Below are 20,090 nucleotides of genomic sequence, written 5' to 3'. Positions count from 1 at the left end.
TTTCATAGTTTCTCCCCGGGCCATAACAGGGCTACAGCGCAATCATACATGTCTACCCAGTACACCTGCACTCTGCTATGCACTTTACACGTTTTTTATCCTCATTACCATGGACAAGGTGGTCATTTTCAAAAGAAAAGTAAACAGGGGCTCAGAGAAGCTAAGCCACTTGCCCAAGACATACAGATAGTAAATTCTGGAGCCTGAGTCTTCATCCAGGGTGCCTCCTTCTTCTTCTTCTTCTTTTTTTTTTTTTAATGAGACAAAGTCTTGGGCTGGAGTGCAACGGCAGGATCTGGGCTCACTGCAACCTCCGCCTCCTTCAAGCAATTTTCCTGCCTCAGCCTCTCCCGACTAGCTGGGATTACAGGCACCTGTAATCCCAAGCGATTTTCCTGCCTCAGCCTCCCCCGACTAGCTGGGATTACAGGCACCTGCCACCCAGCTAATTTTTGTATTTTTAGTAGAGACTGGGTTTCACCATGTTGGCCAGGCTGGTCTCAAACTCCTGACCTCAGGTGACCCACCTGTCTCAGCCTCCCACAGGGTGCCTCCTTCTAAAGCCAACCTTCTTCCCTTCATTCCATACTGTCCCTAGAAAATACCACGCCCGCCCCCTCCTAGAAAGTCTCCTTCTTGAGTGAGGAACCCCCTCCCCCTCAATTCCTGGGCTGTATTTCACTATCTTTAGCATCTCTTGGACTTTGAGCTAGCTGTTTCAACTTCCCAGTGAGTCTGTCCCAGTAGATGCCCCCTGCTCTAAATAGCACCCTCTGCGATCCGCAAACATTACAAGGACATCAAAACAAAGCTATCAGCTGGGTTCCTAGCTTTAGCAGCCAGTCTAAACTCTTTTGTTTGTTTCTCAGACAGCTTATTGACTAGGTGATGAGGTCAGAAGTTTTCTTTTCTCCTTGGCTCTTCAAGAAGCACCTGCAAAGTCAGGGAAGGTAGAAAAAGTCCACTCATTTAAGATTTCAGATGAACATCATTTTTCTGAGCATCAATTGCTTACCAGCCAACAACTTGTAGGGGTGGGAGACGACCAAGGGAGAAAAAGATGGGAACTTAAAAAGCAAAGATAACCTCCACCCTTTCCCATCTTGTATTAATGTGGGCATAGGCAACCCACTTGATGAAATGTTCTCAGAGACTCTGCATGTCCACATGAAGGAGGAGAAAAGTAGGTGAGGGCAGGAAGCTGATCAACCGTATGATAAATGCAGCTGTTGTATGTGACAAGCTACCTGTTTTCTTTCATCAGGCTCTTTCACACTTCTCCAGCCCACTAAAAGAGGGTCCTGGCTCCCCACCTGTCCCCTCCTTCATAACACACCACCCCTCACCCTGACCCCAACAGTTTATCTTTGCATATTGGAAAAACTGGCATTTATCAAGTAATCTACTCCTCATAGGTTGTTAAACAGACCACAGGGGTTATCAGTGGGGCTGATATAGGAAGATAAACAGCAACCTCTTATGCAAATAGCACTAAGAATGTGGGACTGGCCACAGGACAAAAGCAGAATTTAGGAGAACATGAATCTTAACACTTTTCTTCAGTTGCAACCCTGGAAACCCACAGGAACCTGGAGAAGGTTCTCTTGGGTGGGATTTCCCCTCCCTTTCTTGCAGGGAGGGGCAGGTGTGTCAGGAGGTGCAGCCTGCTTTGCAAGGCAAGGTGGCGGCTTCACGTCTGATGAGGCAACTCCTTTCTGTGGCCACAACCTTCTCCTCTGCGCAACAGCCGTTTCATTTTTTCTGAGATTTCGGACCCACTGGAACGTGCTTAGTTCAGGCTGAGGAGGAGTCGGACTAATTGAGAGAAAGAGAAGGTGTTCTCCCAGGTGAGAGTCGGGGGTCAGAGGGCAGTAGGAAAAAAAAATGCATAGAAAACAAGGAGTTCTGGGTTCCAAGATGCAACCCCCATGACCAGGAGATGCTCTTCAGATCTGCCTTTGCTGGGAAAGAGGCGGGAGGTGGCCTGGGGTCCAGGTGGCATCTTTTCAAACCCTTCTCATTATTTAAGGGCAAACTCACATCAAGAACCAAGAGGAGAGTGGCTCCAAGTGACAAAAGAATTACACTTAGAGGAACATAGCAAGCGGCTTCTCACACCAGGCTGCAGGCTGGGGAGGGGGAAAATGGGAGCAGAATGACAGAATCCAGGGCTGGCCAGAATGAAAGACTGAATGGAATAGGCTAATTTACACAGGAAGTAAGCACTTACCAGACCCTTCATCTCAACACACAAAACCCTCGGCCATATCTGGAAGCAATTACATCCAGTTAACATGATCTGCTTGCCACTAAAATTAACTGCAAACAGAAATATTTTTCACTTTTGCAACAGGGGATGCCAAGGTTTGGCCTATTCTCCCCCCCAGCCGTTGAATCTGGCTGCTGGGGAATATTTAGCAGCTACTCAGCTCAAAAAAACAAAAACTACTCTTGTAGCTGTCAGGACACAGAAAGTAAAATAGTGGATAATTATGAAGGGGGGAAAGGCGCGGGAGAGGTGGCAATGAAAACCATTGTGCTAGAAAGTGAGGAAAGGGGCCAGGCACATGGGCCCTATATAGGTCTGCATCCCTGACAAGTCCAGTCTGGTTTTCCACACTGAACTTCAAGGAAAGAAAAATGTTTTTAGAGTCACTCGATTTAGCAGCCGCTTCACATTGTTTTTAGGTACCATCTTTATCCCTTCTGCCAAGGGGGCGGGGGTGGGGGTGGGGGGAATGCAGGGAGGTAGACTCACAAATGTTAGCGGATCCTTAATTTAGCAGATCATTTAGGGGACAACTGTCACGATTTAACTTTTGCATTGAACATTTCCAATCCCTACTCTACAAACGCCTTCGAAGCAGCTTTCACCGGCTCTAAGCGGGGCAAGAGCTGCTTTTAATTTGAGACGTACACAGTTTTTCCACGTAAAGTGAAGAGAAGCCCACGAGGAGGTGAGAACTTGCCTCCGTGAGCGTGCGTGCCCAGAAATGAGCCAGTGGCCCTTTCTCCAAAACTCCAGATCCAGCCGCCCGACTCGCTGGCCACTCTAGTCCTTCGGCTTTGCAATCAGCCCCGCAATCAGATAAGAACTTATTTTTATTTTTCCTTGAACTGCTGTCAACGATGCCATAAATGCCAGAGACAGATGGACAGATTTCTTTTAAAGTTCCTGAGGAGGCGTCATCTCCAAACCCTTCCCCCAGCGGCCCCTCTTTTCTGGGCCAGATTCCGGCATGCTTTCCCCGAAAGTGCAGTTCACTCCTTTGTCACCAGGGGCCTTTAAAACGGCAGCGGCAGCAACAGCAGCAAAAGTAACGCATCCATTTGCCAGACAACTCACAAACATTTTTTCTCAAGAAGAGGCAGGCAGAAAAGTTCCCCTCAAGAATGAGGTCAGACACTGCTGTTCTCTGCAAAAATCACACTTAGAAACATTACTCATGGGAGAAACAAAAGAAAACGAACAACTTAAGTAGCCTTTCTTTAGGACTTTGGGCTATGATGGGGGGAAAACTTTTGGTCTTGATCTGTTAAAGAGCAAAAAAGCACTATGCCATTCTTTTTAATTTTTAAAAACTTAGGCCAGGCGCAGTGGCTCACACCTATAATCCCAGCACTTTAGGAGGCTGAGACAGGCAGATCACCTGAGGTCGGGAGTTCAAGACCAGCCTGGCCAACATGGCGAAACCCCATCTCTACTAAATATATATATATATATATACAAAAATTAGCCAGGTGTGGTGGTGCACCCCTGTGGTCCCAGGTACTTGGGAGGCTGAGGCACGAGAATCACTTGGACCCAGGAGGCGGAAGTTGCAGTGAGCTGAGATCGCGCCACTGCACTCAAGCCTGGGCAACAAAGTAGGACTCTGTCTCAAGAAAAAAAGAAAAAAAACCCTTAATTTTACAATGGAAAAAATACTGAAGTATACACATCCTTTCAAGTATACAACCTGAGGCCACACCACTGGCCGGACGCTGGGCCATGTATTCTCTATACATCACCTACTTAACAACACTGCTCTACCACCAGTATGAATCAGAAGTTATTAACTTCATCTCACAGATGAGGAAGTGAGTGGTGAGGAATCTTGCCACGGTCACACAGCCTCTAAGAGACAGAAGATTAATTCGAACCCAGGTTCAATTCCAGACACAATGCTCTCCAGCTTCTTACCACTTTGCAGCCAACAATCGCAGGAAATTTAGATGCTGCAAGAATGCAAGAAAAAGAAAAAAGAAAAGGAATCCTCCCATGAAATCCACCCACTCCCAGCAACAGCCCCTGCTAGCACGTGGGGGTCTCTCCTTCCCCTTGACCACCCCACACACACATGTACCTAGGCACATACGCTCACAACACGGCTCTGTCACTGCACAGCCGTCCAGGCATGGAAACGGTTAAGTCGCCCTCACTGCATAAATCAAAAGTTCAAGGCTGCAACATACCACAATGATTCCCTCTTTACATATGACAAGAACCAGAGAGGGGCTGAAATCCCAAGCATCCTGCACAGGGTCTCCCCGGCCCGCACAGGTTATGCCGCCAGGGTCAGGGCCGCGGACCTTTAGCGGCAACATTCATTTCCTGAACAGGACAAGTTCTCCTGACCATAAAGCTAATAGGAACTTCCTCGCACGGCGAGCTCCGGCTGACAGGGCTACTTGTCACTGGCCACGCAGGAGGAGAGCACTGGTTCCCATTAGTGGGTTATGATGCCAGGTGCTACTAATAAGGTACATCGGCAAGAAACAAGAGCCTGCTAAGTTGTCTCTCCAACTCTGGAAGTAATCAGGCCTGGGCTTCGGTGTTGGGGAGGGACGTTCCTTAAAGAGATGGGTTGGGGGAGCTGAGGGTTTTGCCATAGTAGACCCCAGCAGCACCTAACCTGCTGAACAGCTTAAATAAATTTCCAACAATCCCTCCACATTTCCCCCAGCTACCATAAAAAGCTCCCCCAAATTAACACTAATAATGGTTGCCCCAGCACTGTGGGCCCGATGGATCACGCTAAGGGCCATTATGGTCGGCCACATCTGCTTCTCACTATGGCAAGGAGAGCCGTGCCAACAGGCCTAATGGCATTAAGATCACAACGCTGAGCTAATCCACTTAGAGCACAACGCCGGGTGAGGGTGGCAGGGGGCTCAGCGGCTCCCTTGTCAGGCTGGGGTCATGAGAGAAGCAGGAAGTAGGGAGGTGGCCTCACACTCTGTGTGCTTTAGGTTACAAGTGATCTCATTAACATACTTTAAAAACCACATTGAGAGGTAGGGGCTAACCTCACTTCACAGAAGAGGATACTGCTGCTTCACAGAGGTGAAGTCATTTGCCCAAATTCACCATGGAGCACTAGTATTCAAACCCAAGTCCATCAGACGTCAGTCTTTCTGCCCCTGCAGTGCCACCCCATCTCCCACTAAGACGATGGTTTGGTGGCACATTTGACTTGTTCTCAGCAAGCCTGGTGGTGGTGGTTTATGTGCGTGTATATGTCTTTTCTTCTTATTTCTGGGGGAACCGAATGGCCCTAAAGAGGAAAGAACTCTAAAAACCACTTCAAATGGCCCAGAATGTCCCCCCTTCATCAAAATGTCTGTGACAGTCTTCTAACAACTTTCTCAGTAACACCCCAGTGTCTCAGGAAGTCCTTTCTCTTACCTAACTTGGACCCTTTCTACTGCAATGCTGAACACAATCTGTTCACACCGAAGAAAATCAGGTCCCGAGGACACAGTTGAAAGTGAGCTAGGAATTTAGAATTAAGGTTTTTCTAAGTATTTAGCGGAAGTTTCCATGCTGACAATAAAGTACCGGATCCCCTCCTTGCAGCTGCAGAGATAAGCCTCACGTAGGCAAAACCCAACCATAGTTTTTCCAGACTGCACCAGCATAATAAGGACACCGGGGCTTTTAAGGGGAAACAGTAGAAAGGGGAATTTCTGATTATGCTGGCATGAAATTAACAGCATGGGATTTTTATTTTTGTAAATGGGTTTCTTTTTTCTCTCTTTTTCTGTTTTTCAAGTCAGCATAAAAGGCCTCTATCACTAGAAGCTGATCTCTCTGTGTTGGTAAGAGATGACGTACTAGTCCTTGGATCCATGCGGCCTGGGCCCCTAAAGAGCTGAACCCTCTGCAGTAACCTTCCTCCTCGCAAGAAGCCACCAGAGGAACTGAGGAGGCCAGAGCTGGTGAAGCCATGAGCCCCCTGGTCACCCAGCTGCAGAGAGCATGGAGCCAGAAGACCTGAACATAAATCCTGGTACAACTCTTTTTTTTTTTTTTTTTTTTTTGAGACAGTCTCACTCCTTTGCCCAGGCTGGAGTGTAGTGAGTGGCATGATCTCGGCTCACTGCAAGCTCTGCCTCCCGGGTTCACGCCATTCTCCTGCCTCAGCCTCCCGAGTAGCTGGGACTACAGGCGCCCCCCACCACGCCCGGCTAATTTTTTGTATTTTTAGTAGAGACGGGGTTTCACTGTGTTAGCCAGGATGGTCTCGATCTCCTGACCTCGTGATCCGCCCGCCTCGGCCTCCCAAAGTGCTGGGATTACAGGCATGAGCCACTGCGCCCGGCCTGTACAACTCTTTACTAGAGAAAAGTCCACTAACCTCTTGGGCTTCTCTCCGCCCATCTGAGAATGTGAAACTGATACCCACCTTACAGGACAGCTAGAGGTCTTACAGAGATGCTGGCTGTGAGTGCACTTAGCACAGAATCTGACATGTAGCAAGCACTCAAAACAATGTCTGCTGAGTCCACATTTTAGAAGCATCCTGCACTGACAGGCAGGAAAGGGAAGGAGCTCTGGAACCCCCAACACCCACAAGCCCAGCCCCAGGACCCCCATCAGTAAGGTGGTATCTGTGCTCTTCATCTCTCTCATAAGCACAGTGATGTGCACGCCTGGCCACGTGCACAGGCAACAGGACACCGCATCAGTGAGCCTCCCCGGCATTTGGACCCGATGGCAGTGGAGCGCTGCCCGGCTAAATTTAAACGAGAACTGGAATGACTCACCAGGCCTCAGGTCAATGGGACAAAGAGTACCCTGGCCACCACAGTACAAGAGATCAGCTTCTGGGGAAGACGCAGAAGCAATGTCTCAGCCCCAAACATGAGGTGCCCGAGGCAGCAGTTTTACAGCACTGTACGGATTGACGCCTATGCGGAAGAACGGTCTCAGGGAGAAAGCAGGATCTGGACCAACATGAACACATTTTTCACCCTGCATGGCTAGCATGACCTACTTCACACAATGACAAGAAAAATACCCTAGCAAACACTTATGGAGCACTTACTTTGTGCCACCGTTCCTCACACAGGATAAATATTTTCTGATGAATCCTTATAACAACCCAATGAAGTAGGTACTACTATTATTTCTGTTTCACAAATGAGCAAACAGGCACACAGAAGTTAAGTAACACAACCACTGTCACAGTTAGTAAGTAGCAAAATCAGAAGTCTGACCTGGACAGTCAAAGTGCTCATTTCCTATCTGTAAAACGTGGGGGTGGGGAAGAGTTGTAGCAAATTTCTTACTACTTAAATAACTGCCAGAGAGTAAGAGCTTTCACCCCACACACCCAGCCAAAACAGAATAGAAAATCTTTAGTTATGGAAAATTCAGAAACCCTCCAATGGACAAACTGAGGCACACCTGTATTCATTTAGTAAGACTCTAAGTCATATATACTTGGGCTTTCAGCAGGGCTTGCTTTAAATTAATAAAAAAAATTAAAGTGATTGGAAAAGTTTCTCTCCTGAATTAGCAAGAAATCAAAGAGCTGTGAATAGAATTTGATTTTAACAGTTTAGGATAATCACTATTTTAAAGATTCATAATAGTTTTCCTAGAACGAGCAGGAGGAAAACGTGTTGCTAAACTATAGCTTTCTCCCTCCCAGCAATTAGCGGCTCCATCCAATAGTGATGGCAAATTAAAATGGGACTTCTCACTGAGATGAAAGAGTGGGCAACTTTCCTCCATTGAAAATAAAATAAAGGAAATCATCTTCAAAAGTTCCAAGAGTTCAGTCTAGATCCCAGATGGCTCAGTAACCCTAAGCAGGTTAAAGTATTTTAAAAAAAAAAAAAAAGTCAGAACACACAGAATCAAATCAAACTGACCCCCTACTTAACTGGCTGAACTGCCAATCCAGATTCCAAAACAGCAAAATTCAATTAACCAAAAGGACTTCATGAAGATATAAGTGGGTACACAAAGAATAAAAGAATTTTTTAAAGAGCGCAACAATCCAGAAAGAGCTCACTGAAGTGCCTAGTTTTAAAAATGAAGAAGTTAAGGCTCACGATGAAAAAAACGATGTCAATGGTGACAGAGCTGAAAAACGCAGAGCTAGGTCTAGACCTGGCCTCACCACTACAAAGCCTTCTGCCATCTTCCTATCTTCACAACCAACAACCTCTCTCCAAAAGACCAGATTTCCAGGAGCCCAGGAGATTATAAACTTGTCATTCATCACCCCTAAAAAGGATACTTCCTGGAAATGGAAATGGATTCAAAAAGGATTTTGGCAAATCTGTGAATGACAAGGCAGCCATAAATAGCTACTAAGAGAAGCTACACCTGACCTTTAGGATTGACGTCAAGGAAGATGGTTGTAGCCTCCAATGGTGGTATCTTAGGCATGGTGATGGCAACCAAAGACTAGGTCAGATGGATTTGACCCAGAAGAGCAATGCTCATGTTCTTATATGGCCTGGTGCAGAGCGCCCAGGACTGTGAATTAGAAGGCAAGCTGAGTGCCTGGTTCTACCCATTTATAGCTGTGTGACCATGGGAAGTCACTTACTTGCTCCAAATCTCATTTTCCTCATTTGTCAATAGAGAATGATAATCGTTCATAATCCCTTATCCAAAACCTTCAGGTGCTTCAACGACCAAAACTGTTCAGACTTTAGAAAGGTACTCTGGGCCGGGCGCGGTGGCTCACGCCTGTAATCCCAGCACTTTGGGAGGCCGAGGCGGGTGGATCATGAGGTCAGGAGATCGAGACCATCCTGGCTAACAAGGTGAAACCCCGTCTCTACTAAAAATACAAAAAATTAGCCGGGCGCGGTGGCGGGCGCCTGTAGTCCCAGCTACTCGGGAGGCTGAGGCAGGAGAATGGCGTGAACCCGGGAAGCGGAGCTTGCAGTGAGCCGAGATTGCGCCACTGCAGTCCGCAGTCCGACCTGGGCGACAGAGCGAGACTCCGTCTCAAAAAAAAAAAAAAAAAAAAAAAAAGAAAGGTACTCTGACACCTATCGTGTTTAACAGCCCCAGCAGAGTCTAGGGCAGCACTCTGTAATCAAACACATTAATATTTTTGCAGCAAAACATATGAATATTCAAACTAAGCAGGATAAATATAGCCTCACATCAGTTCAGATCAGGTTTTGCCACTAAATGAGTTTACTGCAAACTTTTTAGTTTTCAGAGCTTTTCAGACTTCATTATCACAGATATGGGATTATGGACCTGTACCCACTCAAGGAAGGCTGTGAGGGCAAGAGAGATAAAGTCATTAGAGGTGCTTTGCAAAGAAGAAAATGCTGCAACCGATAAAAGGTATTATTAATATCATTGCTGTGGCTATCATTATTCTACAGCATACCCTTTTCCAAACAGAATTTAGTTTGACATCAGAGGTTCTGGACGGGATGATGAAAGAAAACCAAGAGTCTCAGGAAACCTCAAAAATCCCAAAAGTAGCCTAAACCAAGGTCAACACCTGTTGGCCTTCTACATGATCAACCACTAAAAACAGAGCAGCTGACCATCTGAGAGAGACCAAGGCCAAGGGCCAGGCAGAACTCTGATATCTTAGCCACAAAGCTCATGCACCGTACAGCTGGCTCCACAAAGCCTCTGGGAAGGGCTGTACACACGGATCCAGAAAGCTGGCTCAGACATTCCCTGTGGTTCCTGAGAATCCCTTCAAGAACCAGGCAATAGGCCGGGCGTGGTGGCTCACACCTGTAATCCCAGCACTTTGGGAGGCCGAGGCAGGTGGATCACGAGTTCAGGAGATCGAGACCATACTGGCTAACACGGTGAAACCCTGTCTCTACTAAAAATACAAAAAATTAGCCGGGCGTGGTGGCGGGTGCCTGTAGTCCCAACTACTTGGGAGGCTGAGGCAGGAGAATAGCGTGAACCTGGGAGGCAGAGCTTGCAGTGAGCTGAGATCGCGCCACTGCACTCCAGCCTGGGAGACAGAGCGAGACTCCATCTCCAAAAACAAAAAGGAACCAGGCAAGAGTTGCGACGGTGTCTGTGCAGGACATCCACTGCAGCTGACCTAAGTGCTTGTCTGTATAAGATCCAGAAACCAGACCCCATTGTGCCTCTGCAGCACTAAATTCAGAAACACATAAAGACCAAGCTGCGTGAGCCATGGGAGACTAGGGACTATAAATGAGGACTATGTTCACACTTAAGTCTATAGAACTATACTGTTCCCTGCAATCTTATCGCATATGTACGTAACTCTGAGAATGATCAGGTGCTCCTGGCCTGGATGAGCTGGTTCCTAGACCATTTCCAGAGAAGCCTACATGCAGAACTGCTCCAGCCTTTTGGAATAAGAAAGGGAGGGCCCAGTGTTCCAGAATCCTGAGATGATCTTCCCCTCCCTCAGGCATTATCCTCTGTAATGTGGATGCACTGGTGAAGATTTGGGGGCCCAAAGCTTGCTCCTTCATCTGCCTGCAGAATACTGCTTATCTATCAGATCTTCCCACTGTTCTGACTTCCTTCTGGTTTGTTTAGGTAAGTCAGTCCCATTGGATGCCTTTGTCTGGTCTTCCCACCCATCCATGACTACACTTGACACTGCATCCCTTTTACAGCACGTCATTCCTGCAGTGGACGGCTTGTACATCTTGCTGTCCGCTGCAGGAAACAGGCTCTACAACTCCACTAAGTTTGATTCTCACTATCTGTTGAGCCAACAGCTTACCCTTCACTCCACACCAGCTTGGGATCAAATCATGGGGAAACTTACCGATGACATTCCATAATAAACTCCCTGCCTTCCTGCCTCACTTACCAGCAATCCGCCTTCATTTCCTCTCCATTCCCTTCTGCCCCCCCACCCCAAGAAGAAATGCAAGAAGGACTGCTGGGTATCTAGTCTTTACCAACACTCAGGCCTATTGACTTAAAAATAAAATAAAATAAACCCTGTAGCCTGTTATTTTATCACTGATATATTTCCAGTGAATGCCATGGCTTCCTGGCCTCAAAATCTCCCCTTCTGATTTTTTTTTTTTTTTTGTCTTGGCTTTTTGTTTGTACTGGTTATAGGGCTGTTGTTTTTTTTTTTCCACCATAGCATTTCTCAGACTGCTGATGGGTTGGGGGGAGACAGAGAACAGTAGAAAAAAGGGAATAGCACATTAATCCTGGAGTTTTGAGGGTGAGGGGGAGAAAAAAAGCCTTCTACAAAGTACATCTAGCTGGGACCCGAGGGGCTGTTGATCTGAGTGAGGGCTGAGCACACGCAGGATTATTTTCTCCCCTTTCTGATTTCTTTAGACCCCCAAGCTTCCCATCAAAGGCACTGCCCCTGGCTCTAACTTCTTGGGCTGCAGCTGCTGACTTTCCACCCTCAGTCAAAAGCACATTCTCGGCCCAGCAGGGTGGCACACACCTATAATCCCAGCACTATGGGAGGCCGAGACAGGTGGATCACTTAAGGCCAGGAGTTCCAGGCCAGCCTGACCAACATGGTGAAACCCCATCTCTACTAAAAATACAAAAATTAGTCGGGCATGGTGGTACACATCTGTAGTCCCAGCTGCTCAGGAGGCTGAGGCAGGAGAATCACTTGAACCCGGGAAGTAGAGGTTGCAGTGAGCCAAGATCATGCCACTGCACTGCAGCCTGGGCGACAGAGTAAGACTCTGCCTCAACAACAACAACAACAACAAAAGCACATTCTTCCTGTCAGCAGCCCACATGTGACACGGAGGATTCCAGGGCCAGTGTCTTGCTGTCATATGCTCACAAGGACAGGGACATTCTCTGCACCACCTCACAGTCAACACAACCCTCATGGAGGGTGGCACTGTGGACACTACACACTAGAACTCAGAGCCAATGAGGACCATGCAGAGATGAGGCCTAAACAACACAAGGGACAGATGGTCAGTTCTCCACCGCTGCGGTGACTATGTGCCCATCACAGCTCTAGTGATTTCTGGATCTTACTTCATTAATTCAGCACCAACCCTGTTGACCGTCTCCATTTTAAGAAGTGAGTGAAGGCCGGGCGGGGTGGCTCACAGCTGTAATCCCAGCACTTTGGGAGGCCGAGGTGGATGGATCGCAAGGTCAAGAGATCGAGACCATTCTGGCCAACATGGTGAAACCCTGTCTCTACTAAAAATACAAAAAATTAGCTGGGCGGGGTGACAGGTGCCTGTAGTCCCAGCTACTCAGGAGGCTGAGGCAGGAGAATCGCTTGAACCCGGGAGGTGGAGACTGCAGTGAGCTGAGATCACGCCATTGCACTCCAGCCCGGTGACAGAGCGAGACTCCGTCTCAAAAAAAAAAAAAAAAAAAAATGTAGTGAGTGAAACAAGGCCCAGAAAGGTTAAATAAGTATCACAGGCTCTCACCACTAAATATGGCCAATTCCAATACCCAGGCTCTTTCGAATATAACATGGCCAACTCTCCCTCTCTCCCCAGAGGAATGAGGGTCTTGCTGAAGGGGAACTTGGAAGTCTCAGGAGAGTGGTATCTTTTGTGGCCCTCTCGGGTAAAGAAAAGCAACCAGGAACCAGGACCTGATGAGAGCCAGAAAAACAATTACTTCCCACCATACCCAGTTCTCATAGCACACAGCCGAAATAATTCACATCCGGAAAGATGATACATCTATCTGGTCAACTTTGGGGAGCGGGTTTCCTCTTTAGGAAAGTTTGAGCAAAAACAAACACAACCTCAGTCTATTTCTGAGCGGTACAAGCATCAAGAAGACACACCTTAGTGGCGGTTATTTTTCGCACCCACTGGAAAAAGTCGGCTACGTTTAGCTCTGCCACACTTTCCACAAGTTAAGCCTCTGAGCTGTCGAGGAGGCAGGGTCAGAGCAGATTCCGGCTAGGGGTGATGAGATCAACTTCCAGATATCCCCACCCCAACCCCTCTCACTCACATCCCCCGTACCTGAACGAGCAACAGGGGAATGGGGGTGAAGGGGGAGGAAGTGGAGAATCCACCCAAGATCAGCAAAACAGCAGACCACAGGGTATGCAGCCAAATGCTGTCGTCAATGACAACAGAAAGCTGGATTTCTTGACTCCATTCATCTGACCCAGAAACTAGAGGATAAAATGATGGGCACGTGGTTTATGACAGAAGCAAGGAAAAAAAAAACAAACTCGCTACTTATCCCCCCTGTTATTTACTCCACTTCCTATAAGCAATCTTCAAAACGCTCTGTTCCATAGACATGATCCTCTTCAAGTCTAAGTGACTCCAAGAGGCAGCAAAGTACCAGGGGGTAAGGACCTAAATTTGAATCCAGCTCTGCCTCTTACTATCTATGTGACCCTAGAAAAGAGACTTGACATCTGAGCCTTAGTATTGTTCCATGTAAAAGAAGGACATTACCAGCTGGACACGGTGGCTCATACCTGTAATCCAGCACTTTGGGAGGCCGAAGCAGGCCGATCACCTGAGGTCGGGAGTTCGAGACCATCCTGACCAACACGGTGAAAGCCCGTCTCTACTAAAAATTCAAAATTAGCCAGGTATGGTGGTGCGTGCCTGTAATCCGAGCTACTCGGGAGGCTGAGGCAGGAGAATCACCTTAACCCGGGATGCAGAGGTTGCGGTGAGCAGAGATCACACCATTGCACTCCAGCCTGGGCAAGGAGAGCGAAACTTCACATCCAAAAAAAAAAGAAGGACATTACCTATCTCAAAGGGCTGTTGTAATGAAAATGCAACTCATGGAAAGTGCTTAGTACTGAACCAAACATGTCATAAGAGCTCAATGAATGGTTATTTCATAGAGAAGGAAACGGAAGCCGGAGGGAAGCCAATGCTAGCCTGAAGCGGCATTTAGTTCAGTGTGAGCAGAGATGGGATAAGAATGAGACTTCACAGGCTGCAAGACCAAGACTCTTATACCCATCCTTTCCCCTTGCATTTAAATCAATTCCCCCTAAATGCATGTGCAGGATCAGAGAATGAGAAGGGAGACAGAGCAAGGAGATTAACTTTCACCAGGAATAAGGTTCAGAACCTGCAGCTGCTCTTGTGGCTTAAGCAGCCCCCAGACCCTCCCATTCTCCCAAGCTGCAGAAAGGGACAGGCTGTCTTCACAGGGACCACTGCATGGGAACCCGAGGACCTGAAACCTAGTAACATGGTCAGATGCAGGGCCCAAGAGACCCTCATCCCACTCCTTTTCTCCTTCTCTCCATTTTATCAGTCACTCCAAGCAAAGGAGAACAGACCAAACAGCCGAAAAAACAAACAGGGGCCCAAAAGCAAAAAACAAAGGGAAGGGCCTATTAAGAAGCTGCGCCCATGAGTGTCCCCTGGTGCTTTTTGGAAAGATCCTAGGCCCCCTCACTACACTTTAAAAAACCTGCTCCCCTCCCCGCCAGAACTTTAGAAGAAGTGTTCTGGTTTTTTCACAAATTGCCAAGACAGGGGAGCCAGGCCCCTAACTTGGGAGCAGCCAGGGTGTGAAGGAGGGGTGTGAGGGCCTCAAGTCCTACATCAGGTGCGGGGCTGGAGCGGGGCCTACCTGTGCTGCTCCACAGCCTCGTTATCAGGAAGCTCGACCCCACACACGCTGCACTGCTCTCCGATGGTCCGGCTCTCTGACTTCATGCCCACAGCCAGCTCCCCCAGCTTGCTGAACAGCTCCCTCTGGATGAAGCCCTGGGGCAGCAGCCCCCCATAGGTGCTGAAGTCCATGGAGACAGCCAGGGCAGGCTGCACGTGGAGGCCAGAGGTCACGGAAGACGGCATGCTCAATACAGCGTCAGCCTTGTGGTTGGGCAACACGGAGTAGATGCCCAGATGCTTCTCAGGCGGGGGTGCTGGGTGCTCAGGTCGGCCAGTGGGGGCCTGGCCAGCCTCAGCTGGGGGTGGCACCTGCTCGGCACTCTCCTCTCGCCCATAGTGTAGCTCCCTAGCACTGGTGATGACGCTGCTTCGAGTCGGGGTCCCAGGCCCCTCTTTGCCTCTTTCCTCAACCTTGTCCCCCATCCCTCCTGAGATGCTGGACTCGGCTGCCCCAGGGCTGTCCTGGCTGGGCACCTCATCCACCTGCATCATCTCCGTCTTCACCTCAGCCACCCCAGGGTGCCGCCCACCCCCAGCCAGAGTTGGCTCCTCGGGCCCTGCAGGTGGCTGAAGAGTTCCCTGCAGGAGAGACTGTCCTATGGTCATCAAACTGTCCACTGCAGCCTTGGTGGGACTCATGGCTGAAAGACCAAATGAAGTGGAGACTGAAGGGCTCTGGTCCACCATGGGCCCAGGGAGGCTCTGTCCAGCCACACTGGCATACCCACTCTCCTCGCTGGAATGCTTCGAGATGAAGATGTTCTTGAGGTACCGAGCCTTGCGGTCCTCTTCTTCCTCGGCCCCGCCATCGGCCATGGTGGCCTCCGTGTCATTGTCGTCTGAGGCCTGGATGGTCTCCAGCATCTTCAGGCACTGTTCCTCCAGGTACTCGATCTCCAGGATCTCGGCCGCATACAGCAGGTCATCCAGGTCCTCCGCCTTGGCTTGCAGCGTGGCTGTATATGCATACTCCAGAATCTGCTGGAAGGTCTTTGGCGAGAGGAAGTCCAAAGTATAGTGTTGACTATTGCGGTGGAAGAGGATCTCAAACATCTTGCTGGTGCAGGCCAGCACCGTCCGGTGGGCGTGGAACTCCTGGCTGTCCACCATGATGACCACATCGCACAAAGTCCCGGCCAGCCGCATCTGGTTGGCCTTGCACAGTAGCCCCGTGGGGTGGCTAGGGTTCTGCAGCTGGATCATGCCCATTTTTGTCAGATCCATGGTGCTCCCCTCGGCTCAGGCATGAGGCTTTCTTTCCTTCTGGGCTCTGCGTGGCGGGGCTGGGTGGGCTTCCTGGGCCAATAGAGGAGGCTAGGAGAAAGAAGAGGGGAAGAAGCAAAAGAGATGAGAGAACAAAAGACAAATTCATCAGTGTCCCTAAAAGTAAGAATTCAACCACTACAACATGCCCCCTCCTCCCTGTTGCCAAGCCCTTAGCAAGAGGATCTTAGAGATTTTAATTGAAGTAGCTTCCTAGAAATCTACAAATCTGCCTTTCAAGCCAGGGATGCTGAGAGTAAAAAGAAGGTTCTGCCACAGCAGATGCCTAATTCACTACTCTATGACATCTGTTAGATGAAGTGAAATGAAAATTGTAGTGAAGTCCTATAAGTCCTCAGCTTTCTCTGTGTCTGAGAGTAGGGGCTCCCTAGGCAAGGCCAACATTCATTATGATGAAGTGCACTTACTTAAAATTAGCAAGACTTTAGCCCCTTCCTTGTCAGCTTCACGCCAGCCCCCTGGATGTCAAGCCTTATCTTTAAACAGTTTTTCCAAACTCTGCCTCACTACAGGAGCCCCAGAAGCAGAGTCAAACTCATTGGAGGCCAGGAGCCTGTAGCCATGGCCACAGAAATCTATGGACACTGGGCTCTCCTCCGCAAAGGCTATCCTCTCACCATCAGCCTTGGCCTCTGGCCTTCTACTGTTCTCAGGGCTGCAAAGCACTGGCAGACCCAAGGCCTGTCCCCATCCCTAGGTACTAACAGGAACACACACAACCCACACACTAACTTGGGTCATTTCTACCCACGGAAGCCTCAAAGTTATTGTATGTATAATATAAAATCTGAACTGTGTGTATGTACACCAGCCAGAGACAGACAGAAAGAGTGTGTGGGGCAGGGCGCGGTGGCTCACGCCTCTAATCCCAGCACTTTGGGAGGCCCAGGCAGGCGGATCACCTGAGGTCGGGAGTTCGAGACCAGCCTGACCAACATGGAGAAGCCCCGTCTCTACAAAAAATACAAAATTAGCCAGGCGCGGTGGCACCCGCCTGTAATCCCAGCTACTCGGGAGGCTGAGGCAGGAGAATCACTTGAAACCGGGAGGCGGAGGTTGCCGTGAGCCGAGATTGTGCCACTGCACTCCAGCCTGGGCAACAGGAGCAAAACTCCGTCTCAGAAAAAAAAAAAAAAGTGTGTGTGTGTTTACACACACACACTTACGTAAGGTGTCGTACCTACCCTCCTGCCCACAACTGCCCGGTGGACAGGAGGATCTAAAAAACGAAGAAGGATGGGTCATTAAGGTATGGAGAGAGACCATAGTTAAATATGGTCCCCTACAGCCAGGAGTGCTCATGCTGGGCTGGGTGTGTGAACTCCACGTGTGTCCCACAGGCTCCAAGGAGTCTGCAAGTCCTGTGACCAGGGGCAGCAAGGGATGCTGGACATGGCTCAGAGGCGCTGGAAGTGATATTGGCACCAGCACCTGTGGTGTGAGTTACAACCAGTACGAAGGGAAGACAGGGCTGGGAAACAAAGGCCTCTCCCAGAGCCTGTTCGGGATCAATAAGAGGGCTCCTAGACTCCAAACCTCGCTTACAGGAGTGTTAGAAAGACCGCGCAGGCCCAGGACCCTCCCCGTGTCTGTCTTACAGCGACCAATATTGCAGTGAATGCACTGAGAGCAAGGAACAGCAAGGTCTCTCCCTCACTCTTCGAACACTGCTTGCTTGCCTCCACCCCCAGAAGGAGCTCTATCAGTTCAGGAGCCACCAAGCTCACGCAGAAAGGATTCACAGGACGGCTGGTCAAGACATTTTTGCTGCCCGCCCCGGGGTGGGGACGGAGGCCGTCAAGGTTGGGATGAGCATTCAGCCGAGCCGAGCCACCGCGTGCTTTCCCGCAGACATCGGGGTTTCTGAGAACTAGGAGGGAACAGCCAAAAGAATGGAAGCTTGGCGCCCTGAAACAAGCCTTTTGGGTCCTGAGGGAAATCTGGGCGCCCACGGGCAGCCGTCTCCCCCACCCGCCGCTCGGCGCCCGCGATCCGGCTGGCGCTGGCTGCAGCGTCCAGCCAGGCGGCGCGGGGAAGAGCCGGCGATAACCCGCCCGAGCTCCGGGGATCGACCGCGCTCTCACACCCCCCCAGTTCCCAGCGACCCCCACCGAGACTTGGAGACGACTTCAGCAAACTTGGGGAAGCAACTTTTCCCGAGGAGCTAGACTCCTGAAAGAAGGAGAGCTGAGCTAGGGACGAGGGAAAGCGAAAGAGACGGGGAGGAACGGCGACAGTCCGGGCGGGCTGGACTCCGCGGCGAGAGCGGCAGGGGAGGCGGACCCGCCCCGCGGCGAAGGGGAAGCACAAAAGCCCCGCAGCGAGTTGTGGGAGGAAAGGCGAGAAGGGGTCTGCCCGCCCTCCCTCTCCGACCCAGGGCCGTGACCCCCTGGGAGCGACCGGCTGGGTCCCAGGCCTCTGGCCAGCGGCGCCAGCGGCCAGCGCGCCCGGCCCAAGCACGGTGCGAGCGTCTCGGGGAGGCGGCGAGCGAGTCGGTGCGGAGCGCTCCGTGCGTCCGGGTGGTTCCGCGGGCCGGCGGGACCGTGCGCATTTCAAGCGCGTGCGGGAGTGTGCGAGGCGCTGTGCGAGCTAGCGGCGGGCGCGCCAGGGTGGGAAAGGCATCCCGAACGCATCAGGTGCAGAGACCGGCACCCACCGAGAGCGGCCGGGAGCGCACGGCGAGCTCCGGTGTCACCGCCGGTCCCGCCGAGAGCCGAGGAGGGCCCGCAGCGCTGCAGACCCTCTGGAGCTTCCCTCCCTCCCCTGCAAAAGGGGGGTGGGGATCAAGTCCAATCAAGAAAAAGCCCACCACGTTTTCTCAAAGAGAAACAAAACGTAAGCAGTCCCAGTCCTGCTCCCCTCCGCCCCCAGATCTACTCGTCAGCTCCTCCGATTCTAGCTTCCCAGCCGGCCGGCGAATAAACACACAAATAAATAAACCACAACCTTATCTTGCGCCCGCGCACCGGTCCGCATACATAAGAGCACCCACGGGCTCTGTTGCTCCGCCAGCCCCTGGCGGTACAAAGCCTCCGGATCCCCGACCCCTCTGCTCACGCCCTCAGCCCCCGCACACCGCTACGCCCCCCACCTCTCACCCCGACCGTGCCCTGAAGAGGAAGGGCTGGGGAGGCAGCTGCGCCCAGGCTGACAGCCGGGGCTCCCCCTTCTAGCCGACCCCCAACCGGTGGCGGCGACGGCTGCAGCGGCAGGAAGGGAACACGCCAAATAAAAAAGGCACAAGCCCAGCGGCCGAGTGGCCGAAGCGAGCGCGCGCCCCCCAGACCTCTCCAGCCCCGGGAAGCCCCGGCGCGCGGCGCTCGCTGGGCGGTGCGCCTCTTCCCGGCCCCTCACTCACCGCAGCCGAGCCGGGCACTGTGGGGTGGGTGTGCGTGCCTGTCGGGGGGTGTGTGCCTGTGTCGGGGAGGGGTGTTGCTGGGGAACTGTTGCTCTCCGTATCACGGCGGCAGCGACAGCATCGCCCGGCAGTTCGCAGTACCCGCTCTCATCGCCCTCAACTCCTCTCTGCTGCGAGGTTAGCAAATCACCACCGGCTGCTGCGCCTCCGCCGCGTCCCACGTCAACGCCGAGCCCCCTCCCCTGCAAGGCCCCGGCGCCTCTCCATCTTTAGTGCTGGCGGCCGAGCCCGGCTCCCTGCCCACAGCTGCCCCCCTTCCCTCCCCCCTCCCGCGCCGTCCCCGGGCTCAGCCCGCCCACCACCCCGCACTGGCCGAGCCCGCGCGCGCTCCCCGCCCCACCCCTCCTTTCCCCTCCCCTCCCTTCCCCTCCCTTCCCCGCGCTCCGCGCTCCGGGCTTCGCCTGACATCTAGCTGCTGCTGGGGCGCCGGCGGCCGCCTCTCACCGGCCGAGCGGAGAGGAAGGAAGGAGCCAGAGGACAGGAGTGCATGGGGACTCAGAATCCTTAATAGGGGAACTGAGGGTGAAGGGCGCGCAGCAGCCCCCACCTACTCCCA

General features: G+C 51.2%; 1 protein-coding gene across 7 annotated transcripts in view, besides 1 other annotated feature; it reads right to left on the bottom strand.

Moving 5' to 3' along the window:
• ZBTB16 (zinc finger and BTB domain containing 16) overlaps positions 1-19,646 on the bottom strand; it is a 197,060-nt gene extending 177,414 nt beyond the window's left edge. For 3 of the 7 annotated variants that reach the window (NM_006006.6, XM_005271658.6, XM_047427563.1), the window contains exons 1-2: positions 19,475-19,646; positions 14,789-16,146 (exon numbers count right to left, since the gene is read on the bottom strand). In NM_006006.6, coding sequence (NP_005997.2) covers positions 14,789-16,056 — 1,268 coding nt within the window. In that variant the 5' untranslated portion in view covers positions 16,057-16,146; positions 19,475-19,646. Of the gene's footprint in view, positions 1-14,788; positions 16,147-18,772; positions 18,851-19,062; positions 19,116-19,214 lie in introns of those variants that run through there. The other 4 variants (NM_001354750.2, NM_001354751.2, NM_001018011.3 and 1 more) reach the window with 4 other exon arrangements.
• Positions 19,796-20,090: a silencer, noted in NCBI's record as "tiled region #5585; HepG2 Repressive non-DNase unmatched - State 21:Repr". NCBI's record gives its function as "represses a minimal TATA promoter and a strong SV40 promoter by Sharpr-MPRA in HepG2 cells {active_cell/tissue: HepG2}" and the evidence as "EXISTENCE:reporter gene assay evidence [ECO:0000049][PMID:27701403]".

The sequence above is a fragment of the Homo sapiens genome, chromosome 11 (genome assembly GCF_000001405.40).
Source record: "Homo sapiens chromosome 11, GRCh38.p14 Primary Assembly".
Taxonomy (NCBI): domain Eukaryota; kingdom Metazoa; phylum Chordata; class Mammalia; order Primates; family Hominidae; genus Homo; species Homo sapiens.
The sequence above is the reverse complement of the archived record's forward strand: the minus strand, read 5'-3'. Positions and strand labels throughout refer to the sequence as shown.